The following is a 17,524-nucleotide window of genomic DNA, read 5'->3' on the forward strand; positions in this document are numbered from 1 at the left end:
TGTTTTCTGAGTTCTACTGAAACCCTTAAAATAAACTTCAATTGTATTTGCTTAGTTTTTTTCTACTTTCTTATGACCTTTTATAATTTTATTTGTCAAGTATTTAAGAACTGAGTCTGAATATATAGATGTGCAGTAGAGATGCCGATAAAATGCATGGTTTATACCTCTAGAGCAACATAAGCTTGGAGACTAAAGAAATTCATTAGCACCCTGCTAGGTACAACACCTAGTGCAGGTTCAACAAATGCCCATGAAATACTGAATTAGGAAAACTCTCATTGATAGGTAAGATTGATAATGTTAAATTATAATTATTCTAGCATTAAAACATGTTAACTTATATAATTATTCATTCTCCCTAGACAGTTGTTATTTGCTTTTTCTCTTTTATCCCATTAAAAAGCTTTTTAAAATAAAAAAGAATTCATTGCTACTATGCTGACAACAAAGTCCTTGTCACCTCACCTGAGTTGTCTGAGAACTGAGGCTCATCCCAGCTTGCGGCATGTACCTTCTCCGAGACCTGGACGGGAGGTGGAGATCTGCACCAGTCTATGACAGGTGGTTCTGCATCTGAAGAACATGAAATCAGACAAAGAAGTCACAGCTGATATTCACAAACGATGAGGAGGTTTTCAAAAGAGAACTGAAGTCGGCTTGTGCTGGCAGACAGCCTTGAGCTTGCAAGAAACAAGGCTGACTCTGTGGCTCCTGTGATATCTTTTCCCTGATCCCCAACACCAAAGGAAAGAGCTGCTTTTGCTATACTTCCCCCATCTGTTGAAGAAAAAAATGCCACCTTTCTAAAATCACCTTGGTCACAAGTGTGTGAAAGGCAATTCCTGATGTGGTGGGCATTTGAATTGTGGGTTCTGTCCACGGTCGTTGAGCTGACCCAACTGGAAGGGAAGAGAACCATTCCAGACAAGCTGAAGGAATGAAATGACCACATCTGTCATTCCCATGATGTTCCTCTTATCTGAAGAGTCAAGACAAGGGCTAATAGATGGCTAAATAGAAGGACCATGGGCCAGAGATCTGAGTTATGTTGCAGAATAAGCAAGATGTTAGTGTGAGTGGCCTATTGCTGGGAGGCTAGGAGGTTATGTCCAGAGGTGGAACGCTGGAGCTAAAGATTTCTAAGGTTGACAAATTCTAGATGAAGACAAAGAAAAGAGTGGGAACCCGCAAGTGAGGAAAGGAGAGAGAGTATGAAAGCCACAGCAGAAGTTAAAGCACTGGGAGTCTGTGTTGCTGAGCACTGGAATTCTGGCTGAAGGGTGGATGTGAGGTGGGGTGAGTGAGCCAGGTTTCAAAGCCATGATTGAATGTGGTGGAGTTTTTAGGATGTCAGTAAAGAACAATAAAGTGGGTGTATAATCTAGGCAATACCATTCAGGACATAGGCAGAGGCAAAGATTTTATGACGAAAACATCAAAAGCAATTGCAACAAAAGCAAAAATTGACAAATGGGATCTAATTAAACTAAACAGCTTCTGCACAACAAAAGAAACTATTATCAGAGTGAACAGACAACCTACAGAATGAGAGAACACTTTTGCAATCTATCCATCTGACAAAGGTCTAATATCCAGAATCTACAAAGAACTTAGATTTACAAGAAAAAAAAAACCATTAAAAAGTGGGCAAAGGACATGAACAGACACTTTTCAAAAGAAGATATTTATGCGGCCAACAAACATATGAAAAAAAGCTCATTATCACTGATCATTAGAGAAATGCAAATCAAAACCACAATGAGATACCATCTCACGTCAGTCAGAATTGTGATTATTAAAAAGTCAAGAAACAACAGATGCTAACAAGGCTGTGAAGAAATAGGAATGCTTTTACACTGTTGGTGGGAATGTAAATTAGTTCAACCGTTGTGGATGACAATGTGGTGATTCCTCAAAGACCTAGAACCAGAAATACCATTTGACCCAGCAATCCCATTACTGGGTATATACCCAAAGGAACATAAATCATTCTGTTACAAAGATACATGCACGTGTATGTTCATTGCAGCATTATTCACAATAGCAAAGACATGGAATCAACCCAAATGCCCACCAATGATAAACTGGATAAAGAAATTGTGGTACATAGACACCATGGAATACTATGCAGTCATAAAAAGGAACAAGATCAGATCCTTTGCAGGGACACGGATGGAGCTGGAAGCCATTATCCTCAGCAAACTAATGCAGGAAGAAAACCAAACACCGTATGTTCTCACTTATAAGTGGGAGTTGAACAATGAGAACACATGGAAACAGGGAGGGGAACAACACACACTGTGGCCTTTCAGGGGTTGGGGGAGAAGGGGAGCATCAGGATAAACAGCTAATTCATGCAGGGCTCAATACCTAGGTGATGGGTTGATAGGTGCAGCAAACCAACATGGTACACATTTACCTATGTAACAAACTTGCACATCCTGCACTTGTATCCTGGAACTTAAAATTAAATTAAATTAAAAAGAGGGTGTATAGAAAGTAACTTTAATTTAATTATACATTTTATACATCTGAAGTGTTCTTATTACATGCCTTTGAGGTTTGAGGGAGATAGCAAAAACATTATTTTTCTGATTTTGTAGGTGAGGAATGTTAGTTAGACAAGGCAAACTTAAGAAACTTGCTTGAGGTCAGTAAGCTATTAAATTGTAGCCACAAGCATTAAGACCAAGTATTCCTATCCAAGATATATGCAAATACATACTCTGAAATTAACTGAACTGCACCTGTGAGAATATATGGATTCCCATTTTAAGCCAAGTCTCATGAACATATGTTCAATTTTTGTCTTTTCCTCATGTTTGTTATTAGTGCAGACCTTAGGTTTATTATTTCACTGTAGACCAGTGATGCAGTTTATTATTTCACTGTAGACCAGTAAACTCTGTAGACCAGTGATGCAGTCTCTTTTGCTCATGTTTGGATCTCCACTAGATAGCACAGCATCTGGCCTATAACAGGTGCTCAAACAAGTTGCTGGATAAAGGATAAAGCAATGCTCATAGCAGGTCAGTGTACTTTGAGAATGCTGAATCAAGTCAATTCATAGCTAAATTTACAAATCCAGCAGTATTTACTATTTTGCCAAAAGAAATGACAATTGAATATTCAAAGATTTTCTGGGCATATCTGATTTTATTCAGACATTTTAAAGTTAAATCACAGGTGCAAGAGGGCAGTAAGGCTCAGTCAATTACTGTCAAAAGAATTGGAGGCGACAGCAGATGTACTGTCTCCAAAGGAGAGGCACAGCCCACTTCAAAGCAAGTGAGGCAATACTCTGTGGCAGCCAAGGAGAAGCATTCCTGGCTTGACTCTCATTTATCATAAGGGTGACACCAACACCCTGAAGAAAATAAGAAAAATGTAAGCTTTGGTGTATTTTCTTTCTCTCTCTCTCTCTGTCCCTTTCTGTCTGTCTCTCTCACTCCCTACATCCCTCTCTGCTTCTCCTTCCTTCTTTCTCTGCTTCATCTTCCTTCTCCTTCCTTCTCTTTCTCTCTCTCTCTCTCTCTTTTTTTTTTTAGATGGAGTCTCTCTCTGTCACCCAGGCTGGAGTGCAGTGGCATGATCTTGGCTTACTGCAACCTCCGTCTCCCGGATTAAAGCAATTCTGCTTCATTCTCCTGAATAGCTGAGAATACAGGTGTGCGCCACCACACACAGCTAATTTTTGTATTTTTAGTAGAGACAGGGTTTCAACATGTTGGCCAGGCTGGTCTCGAGCTCCTGACCTCAGGTGATTCATCTGCCTCGGCCTCCCAATGTGCTGGGATTACAGGTGTGAGCCACCACACCTGGACCTTCTCTCTCTCTCTCTGTCTCTCTCTTTGAGACGGAGTTTTGCTCTTGTTGCCCAGGCTGGAGTGCAATGGTGCGATCTCAGCTCACCGCAACCTCTGCCTCCCAGGTTTAAGCAATTCTCCTGCCTCAGTCTCCCGAGTAGCTGGGATTACAGGCATGTGCCACCACACCTGGCTAATTTTGTATTTTTAGTAGAGATGGGGTTTCTTCACATTGGTCAGGCTGGTCTGGAACTCTCCACCTCAGGTGATCTGCCTGCCTTGGCCTCCCAAAGTGCTGGTATTACAGGATGAGCCATCACACCTGGCCCTCTCTCTTTTATAATTTGGGAATTCAGTTAAAGTCTAGTAGTCACTCAAGTACACATTTCACATTTCACTATGCTGACTCTTCATTATGAAAAATTAAAACTTGGCAAACTCCTGAACCACATTTCCAAGTCTAAAATCACTGTGTCAGATTTTTGAGAATCCAACATATTTTTCATGCAAATGGTAAAGCTCATGTTTAAAACAACACTGAAAAAGGAATTTTTAAAAACTAAGCATTGTGAAATAGTCTGATTTTTACTGGATTTCTTTCATCTACTTTTACCAAAACCTGTAATGTATAGGGTAAGGAACCAGTTTAATATATGTTAGTTATTTCAATAAGTTATGTAACATTTTTAAAACAAAATGAATTTAACATAGTGAATTTTAAAATAAACATATGAAAAATAGACCTGAGATAAATGTTGCAAAATGTCAGTATGTTGTCATCTAGCTTTCACACAGAGCTTAAAGTATGGTAGGCACTAGATCAAGTGGTTTATATATTATCACAAATTAAAAATCTCACAATGAGGTAATACATTCATTACTTTTACTTTTGGATAAAGAAATTGAGGTATAGAGCAGGAACTGGTCCCCTTGACTTTAAGCGGTGGAGATGAACATGAACCCAACCAGCTTGGGTTCAGAGTCCATGCTCTTGTCCACTACAGATTGCTATGTAGCCTACCTCTCCATGTATTTTATTTTGGTAATGAGCAGAAGACCAATTGAGAGATGATACGGTAAACCAGGCTCAAAAGATTTCAAAGGACTGATCCGCAGCGGTGGTTCTGAGGATGGAGAGAATGGGACAAACTTCAGCGATATCAAGTAGGTGAAACCAACAGCACCTGATACCTTCTTGGATATTGGTGAGAGGGCAGGGAGTCAAGCATGATTCCAAGGTTTTCGCTTGGTAGCTAGGTGGTTGGCTGTGTCCTTTTCTGAGCTAGGAAATAATTTAGGTTTAGGTGAGTTTGAAATGCCTGTGAGACATTAATATGGGGAAAGTCCAGGAGGCTTTCAGAGTCCAGTTTGGATTCCAGAAAAGAGATTCGAACTGGAAATAGGAATATGGGAGTTGTTGGTTAACAAAATCACTCAGGAAAACTACAGAGAGAGATAGAGAAGACCAGGGCTGAAACCCTAGAGAAGATCAGCATTTGAGAATTAGCCTGAGGAAGAGAAGCCTACAAAAGAGATAAAGAAGGTTAGGTAAAAATAATGGAGGGAAAAAAAAGACGGGAAAGACTAACATCAAGGAAGCTAAGGGAAGGAAAAAGTTTTGGTAACAAGTGTGTGGTTAATAATGTAAAACGTAGCTGGGTGTGGTGGCTCACACCTATAATCCCAGCATTTTGGGAGGCCAACGTGAGAGGATCACTTGAGGCCAGGAGTTTGAGATCAGTCTGGGAACACAGTGAGACCTTGTCTCTACAAAAAAATTAAAAAAAAACAAAACAAATTAGCTGGGTGTGGTGGCACATGCCTGTAGTCCCAGCTATTTGGAAGGCTAAGGCAGGAGGATTGCTTGAGCCTAGGAATTTGAGGCTGCAGTGAGCTATGATTGTGGCACAGCACTCACTCCAGTCTGGAGGACGGAGTGAGACCCTGTCTCTGAAAAAAATTAAATAAATGTAAAATATGAGGAAAGATTATGTAAAATTAGGACCAAAAAGTATGCAGAGTAACACCAGAGATCATTGGTGACTTTGATGACAGTAGTTTATACGAGTGAAGGGGATAGAAGCCAGATTTGGGTGACTCCGAATAAATGGCAATTAAGCAGAAAGACATGGCAAGCATTGGGAACTTTCATGTGGGCTCATATGGGAAGAAATCAAAGAGAAGTGGTAATAGTTAAAGGGTTTGTAGGTTTCAAACAGGGAGTGCTTTGAGCAAGTTTCAATGCCAGTTGGAAGAATCAGTGACAAGGGAGTTGTTGATCATAAAGGAGAAGTGGTCTCTGGGGTTCTGGATTGCTTTCATAAACCTGCCCAAATGATTCAATGAAGACTTACTGTATTAGTCTGTTCTCATGCTGCTAATAAAGACATACCCGAGACTGAGTAATTTATAAAGGAAAGAGTTTTAATGGACTCACAGTTCCATATGGCTGGGGAGGCCTCACAATCACGGCAGAAAGCAAAGAAGGAGCAAAGCCACGTCTTACATGGTGGCAGGCAAGAGAGCACGTGCAGGGGAACTCCCCCTTATAAAACCATCAGATCTTCTGAGACTTATTCACTATCATGAGGACAGCATGGGAAAGACCCACCTCTATGATTCAATTACCTCCCACTGGGTCCTTCCCACGACACATGGGAATTATGGGAGCCACAGTTCAAGATGACGTTTGGATGGGGAAACAACCAAACTATATCACTTACCAATAACCTTGATATGGAAAATGCAGCTGGCCTGGTTGCCGGATAGGTCAGTTGCCGTGTATACGATAGCAACATCTCCAATTGGGAAAAGGTAAGGTGGGGTGAAAGCTGGATGAACGTGGACTGACACCTATTGGAGATACACAAATATTTTGAAAGTTAATGTCAAAAGTGCGTTTATTCTTTTCTGATTTATATATTATTAGTAATGTTAACAATGATACAATATTTCACAAAGAGGAAAGGAAAAAGGCACAGCTTTCTGGCATATTTCTTTCCAGATTATTCTATTTACATGATTTATAGAATTGGCACACATATGAAATATTTCTCCTTGTTTTTTAAACATAATACCTTCAAACATCTTTTATGCTCTTATGTAGTCCTTAAAACTTAAGATGACTCTTAAATGTTTCCATAATGTTCTGTAGAATAAATATAAGATAATTTAAGAAAAATCTGTTGAAGGACATTAGTTTGACCCAAACATTTCCATTGTAAACAGTTTTGAACAGATAATTTAAACATATTTTTTCTTCTTCTTTTCTTTACTGATGCATAATAGATGTACATAGTTTCAAGGTACATGTAATAATTTCACACATTCATATAGTTTATAAAGATCAAATCAGTGCACTTCAGATATCCATCACCTTAAATATTTATCTTTTCTTTATGCTGGAACCTTTAAAATTCTTCTCTTCCAGCTATTTTGGAATATATGATCGATTATCGTAAACTATGGTCACCCTACTGATCTATGTAAGACAAGGTCTTATGACTTCTATCAAAACATGTATTCCTACCCACTAATTCTCTTCTCTTATCTCTCCCTCCCCCACCTTTCTTGGCTTCGGATAACAACCAGTCTACTCTCTATCTTAATGAGATCTACTTTTTTTTAGCTCTCACCTGAGATATTTGTCTTTCTGTGCTTGGCTTATTTTGCTTATTTATTATTTCCTTGTAATAGAGTTCCATGAACAGAATTATTAAACCCAATCATTAACATTTTATTAGTAGATAATATAAAACTTATTTCCAAATGCATGGTAACAATTCATATTCCCACTGTCAACCACATTTTCTGATCTATATTAAATATCATCAATTTTTGGTAAGTCAAAAATCTGGCACCAGGTCATTGTTTTAATGAACTGTTTTTTAATGCCATATGCTAAGATTAAATTCTCAAGTTTGCATGTATTATATTTTTTACTTCTTGAATTGTATGTTTATTTTCTTCATCCATTGAAAATTGATAAATTTCCTTTTCACTGTAGTTTTAAAAATATTTCAAATAAGATTAGAAAGCTACTCATGAAATGATTTGATAAGCATCCAAAAATATTTGATGGTAGTTTTTTTTATGATTTAAACTATAATTTGGAAATATATTTTCTGTGTGGTATGATTTGAGAGTATAACTTTACATCTTAAAAATCACTCACTGATTCCCCTTTATGATATTTTAAAATCCATCTATTATGAAATAGTACTGCATCATTCTGTTTATTTTTATTTTATTAAATATTTTGATTTCTGATAGAACCAGTTGTTTCTTATTATTCTTTTCAATACTTTAATCTAGGTATTCTTCTACTTTCCGTTACAGAATCACTTTTCATGCTCAAAAATATATTAACAGTACTTTTGAAATACATTTATTCTATAAATATTTTGCTTTTTAAATTTTTTCTTTCAGAAAAACTAGAATGAAACATTTTGTTTTTTAATCTACAAATATGGCATCTATTTCTGTTTGATTTCATTATTTCACCTGCCAATGTTTTATATTTTCCTTTAAGGTGCCATTTACCCTTCTTTTTAAATAGAAACCTAAATATTTTACATTTTATCTTGCATTGTAAGTAGAATCCCTTTTTAACCTATTTTAGTAACCTATTACTATATATAGCATTACATATTTTATAGAATGGGGTGTGTGTGTGTGTGTGTGTGTGTGTGCAAATTTATCTGTATCTTGGTAGTCAAATAGTTATTTTGCTCCAGGAAATTACATCAGGGATACAAAGAGTAAGTTTAAAAGTCTCATTCAGGACACAGAGGAAAACTTAAGAGTATAAATCATGGAATAGATAATAGACATACAGAATAGAAATTAGAGATATAACTTACGAATCATCAGTGTTCCTAAAAAAACAGAATGAATGGAATAAGAAAAATGTTCTAAGATATAGAAGAAAACTTTGATTTGAAGAAAGCTATGACTGTACATAAAAAGGACTCTTGATGTACCAAAGTTGATAAAGAACAATCATCACTTAAACAAATCCCAGATAACTTAATGTACAACAAAAAATTCCCACAGCACTCAGGAAGAAAAAAAGCAGATTATCTAAAAAAAGATAATAATCAGCATATATTATCTTTCTCTTAGTCATTAAATGCTAGTCTGGAAATAAAAGATGTTCTTGTACATGCAAAGGCTTAATAAATATACCACCTGTATATACTTTTTCTGAAAGAATGGATTTTGAACCTACCAAATGAGATGAATCACAACAAATCCCTCATAAGAGAGAAAAGTCATGGTGTGAAGAACTGTCAGCAAACACCAAAACTATGTAAACACATACTCAGTGTGAAAAATTGTGGTCGTTAGGATTCAGGTGTTATCAAAGATTTTTGAAGGGATGTAAAAAAAACTATATTAATTAATCTATAATAAATTAGAATAAGAATCCCAGATTATATCAATAAACTATAAGCGGCTGAAAAGTTAAACTGATAATTTACTCCTTTTACTTGGGCGAAATGCAATAGATACTCTTATTTTTTTTGCCACAGATAATTGGGTAATGAAAGGCTTATGCATGTTTTTAAAACTTTATTAAAAAGACTATATTCCTTCCATATATAATTGCAGCTACAGTCCTAAAGCTCCTAAGAATGGAAAAATCGCCAGGAGGCTGACACAGCAGTGGCTGGATATATATATTTCATATATATATATATGAAATAGGAGAATTGACTTGGGTAGAGTGTTGGGATATTTCCCCTGTCTTCTCCATGGGGCAAGGAATGGGGAGGAATACTGCCTTAAACCAAGTGGCAGGGCTTCAGACAACCACTCATAGAACATTGGCAGGGGGAAGGGGGTGCCTACAGAAAAGGAGACCAGCATCCCATTCCCAGGCTGGATGCTTGCTGGGCAGAAGAAATCCATAGATTCACCCCAATGTGAGGAGTGCTGGGTGAGGCCGACACCCATGCCTTGGAGTTTAGGGGCACATATGAATGTAGACAGGTGGCTGCATCTCTCCTGGTGAATTTTGAAGGCAGGAGGCTTATTTGAGCAATATGGACAGACTGGGAGGAAGGCTGTTCTGAAAATGTGTCAGCCTGCACTCCCAGTTGTTGGCATGGTGAAGTGACATAGGCTGAAAGGGGAGATGGTAGTACTTGAGTTGTTCTGCCCTACACTCTGCTCTAGGGGTTTTGAGAGGTTGTGGGATGTATGACAGTGCTTGGAGCTAAGGGGAAGGGCAGCAGAGGTCCTGCCAGAATGCACCTTCATGGCAGGGAACTGTAAGGGGTTGGGGAGGGGGTGGTGCTTCTACAGGGCCTCCTGCAGAATGTGCACATGGACTACACAAGAGAGATAATTTTTTTTTTGCTTCTCAGAGTGCATCAGCAATACAAAGAGGGCCACACAGCCTTAAACAAATGAAAGACTTTTGAACCTTTCCTCAAAAATACTCCTTTCCCAGCTGTGTTCATTTCCTATTGTTTCCATAGCAAATTCCTAAAAATGTGGCAGCTTAAAACAACAAAAATGGGCCAGGCACGGTTGGCTCATGCCTGTAATCCCAGCACTTTGGGAGGCTAAGGCAGGAGATCACTGGGTCAGGAGTTCGAGACCAGGCTGGCCAACATGGTGAAAACCCGTCTCTACTAAAAATACAAAAAATAGCTTGACATGGTGGCACTTGCCTGTAATCCCAGCTACTTGGGAGGCTGAGGTAGAAGAATCGCTTGAACCTGGGAGGTGGAGGCTGCAGTGAGCCGAGATCATGCCACTGCACTCCAGCCTGGGGACAGAGCAAGACTCTGTCTCAAACAAACAAACAATCAAAAAGCAAAAAACAAACAAAAACAACAAGAATGTATTATCCTGTGGTCTTATAGGTTAGAGACACTGATGGGTCTTACAGGGTTGAAATGAAAGTGTTAGTAGGGCTGAGTTCCTTTCTGGAGGCTCTGAGGGAGAATCTGTTTCCTTGCCTCTTCTAGCTTTTAGAGGCTGCCTGCATGGTCCTCCTCCTCTAGCTTCAAAGCCACTGATGGCAGATTGAGTCCTTCTCTCTGCACATCTCTCAAATCCTTCTGTTATAGCATCGCTCTGTAACCACAGCTGGGAAAGGTACTTCTCTTATTTTAAGGACTCATGTGATTAAGTTGGATTCACCTGGATAACCCACGCTAATCCTCCCATCTCACAGTCCTTACTTTCATCACATCTACAAAGTTCCTTTGCTATGTAAGGAAACATATTTGCAGGTTCTAGGGATTAGGACAAGGATATCTTTGAGGTAGCCATTTTTCTGTTTATCCCACCAGCCCTGACCCTAGAGAGGCCAGAGACAGAGACGGGGAGGCATAGAAGGGGGAAAATAGCATCAATTGCTCCTCTTTCCTCAAGTCAGTCAGGCCTCCTCTGAGCCGCAAGAGGAAAAAGCTTTGAAGTGGATACAAGATTCAAGCTTTTATTTAGACAGCAAGACTCTTCTTTTTAATCCTTGAAAGTGGTTTTTAATTATGGAAAGAACTATTGGTATACCCTAGAGCAACCAAAGCTTGTGACTGTAGAATAATGGTTATTTTCTATTGGTGCCTTTCCTAGTTCAGACTATTCAATATCAGTTACACAATTATAGTTTTGATTGCACTGTACATATAATTTAGCATCTTACTTTTCTACCAAGAAATTTCTTTTTTTGGAAATTTTCTGAGGGAATAATCAGAGACAAAAGACAAAGACTTAGTACAAGGATGTTCATGACAGCATCGTGAGTTCTTTCTTTTTATTCTTTCTTACCCTGCTTTGAGTTCATGTTCTATTATTACAATAAATATAGTGGGGTTTTTTTCCCCAATTGTCTAAACTGCCTTCTCTGTCTTTTTTTTTTCTTTCAAACCTCTACATTATAAAGAAACCCAATTATTTACTTTTTTCATGCCTGCGCTAGAGAATCACATCAATTTTGGAGAAATTCACACAGTAGTGCAGATTAATCTCTCTATAAGTTTATGATCACAAAACTCAAATGGACCCCCAACTGTAGCCAAATAATCCTAGTATATTTCTCTGGTCTGTTCACTCTCCTTCTCAGAATGAGTTTTTCAAAACTTCTCAATTCTCCTAAAACTTCAAAACTCTCTTACTTATTCCCTTTAGTTACGCTTCAGGTTTGATCACTTTCTGAACAGAAGCCATTCACAATGAATTGCCCCCTCTTTTCCTTGTATATTCAACTTCTCCATCTCAATTGGTTCTCTCCATTTCTATTTTTATTCTTTTAAGCACATTCAAGTTCTTCCCCCATGTAGTAGGCTGAATAACGGCCCCCCCAAAGATCATCCATGTTCTAATCCCTGGAACCTGTGAACACGTTGCCTTACATGGTAAAAGGGACTTAGCAGACACGACTAAATTAAGAATCTTAAAATTAGGAGATTCTCCTGAGTTATCCAGATGGGTTCAATGTAATCTCAAGGGTCCTTATAAGGGGAAGGCAGGAGGGTCAGAGTGAAAAGAAAAAGATGTGGTGGAAATATCACACATGAGAGACTGTTCAACACACAAACCACCTAAAGTGCATTCAGCCCTAGAAATCACATTTGCCCTTTTCAAATCAGATTTAAAAGCTACCTTGATTGTAAGTATATTCAACACAATGATCGGAACAGCTATTTTTTCTATGTTGCGCTCTGCATCCCCCCCGCCGCCCCCAGTGTATCCTGATTGGTCCAACTTATATATATTTACAGGTAAGTGTAGAAATAACATAATATTTAAGTGCATCTTAATGTATATGAATACTAACCATGTACATATAAGAGGAAGTAAAATTCCTAAATGAACTATTTTTCTAACATCTGATGGATTATTTCAAGCTACTATACAAAGAAAATTAAAATACTGTGTTCTGAATAATGCTGGATTCAGACAAGCTTGAAGAAGAAACACCAGTGCTATCTCTTTCTGACTGAAAAATACACAATCATTTTGGGCCCATATTTTAAAAGATAGGTTCATAAATAGCAATTAGGATTGAGTCCACATCTTTTCTTTTCTTAAAAGATCCTCAGAACCTAGTAAAGGGCAAAGAATTCTTCGTCAAGTAATCTTAGTGGCTACAATAATACAACAAATCCATAGAATGAAAAGTTTCTGGTTTTGAGGATTTTATCTGAGATTTCTAATTAAAAATTCAAGGTTGATCATTATTCTGTCAGATGCCGCATTCACATTTACGAGTAGAGTTCATACACAAAGAGTATTGTGATGGTTAATATTGAGCGTCAACTTGATTGGATTGAAGGATACGAAGTATTGTTCCTGGGTGTGTCTGTGAGGATGTTGCCAAAGATTAACATTTGAGGAGGACTGGGAGAGGCAGACCCACCCTCAGTCTGGGTGGGCACCATCTAATCAGCTGCCACCTTGGCTAGAATAAAGCAGGCAGAGGAAGGTGAGAAGAGCAGACCTGCTGAGTCTTCCAGCCTTCATCTTTCTCCCGTGCTGGCTGCTTCCTGCCCTTGAACATCAGACTCCAAGTTCTTCAGCTTTTGGACTTTTGTACTTATATCAGTGGTTTGCCAGGAGTTCTTGTGCCTTTGGCCACTAACTGAAGGCTGCACTATCGGCTTCCCCACTTCTGAGGTTTTGGGACTTGGACTGACTTCCTTGCTCCTCACCTTGCAGATGGCCTATTGTGGAACTTCACCTTGTGATGGTGTGAGTCAATAGTCCTTAATAAACTCACTTTCATATATACATCTATCCTATTAGTTCTGTCCCTCTAGAGAACCCTAATACAAGTATTACCATGAGCATATTAGTAAGTCTTCAACACACATATCTGCAGTATATTTAGAATTCATTTGAAAAGGATGCACATAATTGCACAAACCTTACCTTTTCACCAGAGTTGTCTTTAGCTGTTGGAATCTGCCAGGTAACATTGGCAGAATCTTGCTGTTCCAGAGTCTTAGCCTCTATGTCCTTAGGACAGTTGATTTGAGGAGCCTCCACGTCTAACTCAGAAAAATACACAAGTAGATTAATACACTGATATGTGGTCCTAGATCATTTAAGGAAGAGGTACAAATCTAGTTATATTAATACACTGTGACACATTTGTACATCCCAGTTACTGATTGTTCGGAATCTGCACCCACCTGCTTTCCTGATCATTTATCTCAGCATGGCTTACGAGCCCAATCTTGAACTAGTACCTATTAACCTCTTAGCCTCATTTCTTCCTTTTCTCCTACAGGAATTCACTCTCCACATTGAGTTACTGTCAGGCCATTGCCTTTCTTTTACCTGGGCCCTTACCTATGTTCTTTTATTTGCCTGAATTAGTGCCCTCTTCTCCCTTTACCTGGATGTCTAGTACTTGCTCTTGAACAGGCTTAGACACAGCTCCTCAGGAAGCTCTTGCTGATTCTCCAGGCCCATTTGAGGTCCCCACTCCACAAGTTCCCATAGCCCTCTGGATTTCCCAACCATAAAACTCAACAAGCTATTTTGAAATTGAATTTTCTCCCCCAATAGAATTTAAGTTATTTGAAGGTCAGGATGTCTTGCCCCACTGTCTTATATGGTACCTGACATATCATAGGAGCTTGAGAAATATTTTTTGAATGAACTAAATTAAAAAATGTTGACTGTGACAGGAAGAAACTACACTTGAAAATGAGGCTGTCAACTAGAATTAACTAGCAGAAACTGAAACGTACTGTCAAAGCAAGCAACAAATTAAAGCCAATGATATTTTTTACTTTATACTATGGTGCTGAATTAGACGTGCTAACGTTACACAGATGCACGCCAGTTATGGTAGTGCTTAAGCTTTTGTTATATGATAAAATACATCTTTTATTTTAATTTATGTTAAATTAGGTCTTCTGTAACTTCTGGCTGAATATATCTGAATTGATCTCATTGTGTCTCACGTCTTCTTGTTTCTTCAAAATTTAATTCAATTTATATTTTCTCTTTCTCAAAGGGGCTTATACTTGGACAACTCTCTCCCACAGGAAGACATAATAGCATATTAACTCTGAAAAAATTTTTAAAAAGTATTTGATTTTTCATTCATGCTTAAACAATAGCTTGACTGGACCTGGAATCTAAAGTTTATATTTATTTGCTCTCCATATCCTGTACACATTGCTACATTTCCTTGTGGCATTTAAAGTTGTAAATGAAATAGGTAACGTGAGTCTAATTCTTGTTTCTTTTGTGCAATTTCTTTCTTTCTCCATGAAAAGTTATTTAAGATTTTTCCATTAACTCTGCAACTCAGAAATTTCACTAGGAGTAGTCAAAGTATGCCAACCCAACACTCAGGAGTTATTTGTGGTCTAAAGGATTAAGCCATTCTCTAGCTCAGAGAAATTTTCTTCTCTTGGTAGAGAAATTTTTCTCCATCTCCTCTCCTCTCTCCTTCTGGAACTCCTTATTAAATGGACATTGGGGTTTTTCCTTCTGCCACTGGCATCCCTCAACTTCCATCTTTTTGGTTTGATCAATTGGGAAATTCAAGCACTTTCTTTGTTTACTCATTCAGTTCTCCATTGTGAGGAAACTCTCAGTTTGGTCTTTTAAATTACTAATATAGTTTTCAACAGCATTCCTTCCATTCATCTGCCCTTGTCCTTCTCTTAGAGATAGGACATTTTTTACTTCTAAGAACTCTTTTCTGTTTTCAGTAACTCCTTTTTCATAGCGGTCTGCTCTTGTTGCAGAGAAAATGGCAATGTCCTCTTGTGAATGGAATGTGATGCCAGGTTTCAAAGTGCTGATAGCTTCTTTTTGAAAATCAATTCAGTCTCACCTGCTTTATATAGACCAAGACTTCCCTAAAGATTTTAGTCTTATGGAAAACTTACCTGATTTTCAGCTCTACTATTTTCCTTATTTGTGTATTTCTTCTGTCATTGTCTGGCATTTTGTAATCAGATTTTGTAAATTCACCACTTTCAACCAGAAATCCTCATAGAGGATATTGGGGTAGCACCTAACCATATTATCATGGGTTTGCAGCAAAAGTTGCAAAGAAGGATTGTCCTATACTGCACCCATATGGCAATATTAAAAAATTTGATTTTTAGCCTGACTAGTGTAGAGACCTACCTTTACACACAGCTGCCTGAACTCCGACATTCCATTTTCCAGAAGTGGTACATCTCAGCATTTCTTTGACTCCAGATAAAATGAACCCTTGGCGGCAACTTACATAGCAGATCGTCCCAAATTTGGCTGGCTGCTTGCCACAGTTGTGGGGGGATATGATGACATCTTTGGGCATCTGAAAGGTGGAACAGTGGCGCTCTACGGTAGGGAAACAGAGAGAATGTTATTTGTGTTCCCACAAATTGGAAATGCCATGGATTCTTTTTACTCAAGAAAAATACAATTATGCTGCCTTAGGATTTACGTAAATTGCTAAATGATAACTATATATGACATTGAATGTATAATATATTGTAAATAATGCTAACCTATACCTCTTTAGTTATCTTTTGCTATTTTTGCCAGTGCATCATCAAAACTTTCAAAAACTTCTGATATTTTAATTAACACTGATTTTGACTTTTATCATTTGCTTGGAGCACATTCATTTAGTTAGCAGAATATTATTTTATGGCTTAGAAGTAGAAAGTCATAAATCGAATTCCATATTTCATGGATTAAGTGATATATTCAGCAATCTCTATTTTATGAGCTTTTTGGTGCTATTTTTAAGCAAGCATATAATGAGAAAAGTTTCTAATAGCCTTCCTAAAATCACTGTTATATTTAGGGCCTTGACCTTGAATGCTATATTTAGCACAGAAAAAGAATAGCAGATGAATTAGGCAGAATGCAGATGGAATGGAAAATCAAGGCTAGGACTTAATACAGGGAGTGCATGTGAGGGGGCAGCGTGTGCACACACCCATAGGCACATTTGTTTTTTGTAGTAGAGAATCTACTGGCAGCATTACTCACATTTTTAGTCTCTATTTTCCATGTTATTGGAATAGCTGAATAAATAGCTAACATTTATTCAGTACCTACTATGTGCCAGGCATTATTCTAAGCACTTTGCATGTATTATTTAATCATATGCTGTAAGAAGTATTCCAACTTACAAATGAAAACTGAGCACACTAGTAACTTTCCTAAAGTCACCATGCAAGTAAGTGGCAAAATCTGTGTGCTACTAAACACTCCACTATCATACTTCCTCCATGAAATAATTTCTTTCCAAACTGTGCCAGCAAAAGCCATTTTTTTTCCAAGAAATGGTTTGTCTCTTTATTTCTGCACGGTGTGAACTGCATGCCATCCCAGACCTCCTAGTCTACTTTGATCAACAGGAAAATCAAAGCCAAATTTGTGGTTCGACGATAATGACAATGTGGGACTCAGTATCCTTTATTTACAGCTGGGCCTATATAAAGTAAGAAAATTATCCTTTTGGCTGTCAAAGTTGTTGAAAATTTTATTCTTTTTTTATTGTTTGTTTATGGTACTTACGGTGAGCGTGTCTTTAACTTTTATATAGTCTAATCTACTGAGTGTTTTTCTTTTTGAAGTATTCCTTTGCTTTTATGCTTAGTAAGTTCTGAGACTGGTTAGCATTCACTTACATATGTTAAATACATTCTCTTCCAGGTTGTAATGGTTTTATCTTTTACCTTATCTTTAAAATCTATGAAGAATTTATTTCTGTGTTCAGTGTGAATTGA

General features: G+C 37.9%; 1 protein-coding gene across 1 annotated transcript in view; it reads right to left on the bottom strand.

Moving 5' to 3' along the window:
• Positions 1-17,524, bottom strand: part of SVEP1 (sushi, von Willebrand factor type A, EGF and pentraxin domain containing 1) — a 214,494-nt gene that overhangs the window by 117,870 nt on the left and 79,100 nt on the right. The window contains exons 7-10 of the mRNA NM_153366.4: positions 15,924-16,121; positions 13,698-13,816; positions 6,533-6,662; positions 469-576 (exon numbers count right to left, since the gene is read on the bottom strand). Of these exons, the coding sequence (NP_699197.3) occupies positions 469-576; positions 6,533-6,662; positions 13,698-13,816; positions 15,924-16,121 (555 nt within the window). The remainder of the gene's footprint in view (positions 1-468; positions 577-6,532; positions 6,663-13,697; positions 13,817-15,923; positions 16,122-17,524) is intronic.

This window comes from Homo sapiens, chromosome 9, assembly GCF_000001405.40.
Source record: "Homo sapiens chromosome 9, GRCh38.p14 Primary Assembly".
Taxonomy (NCBI): domain Eukaryota; kingdom Metazoa; phylum Chordata; class Mammalia; order Primates; family Hominidae; genus Homo; species Homo sapiens.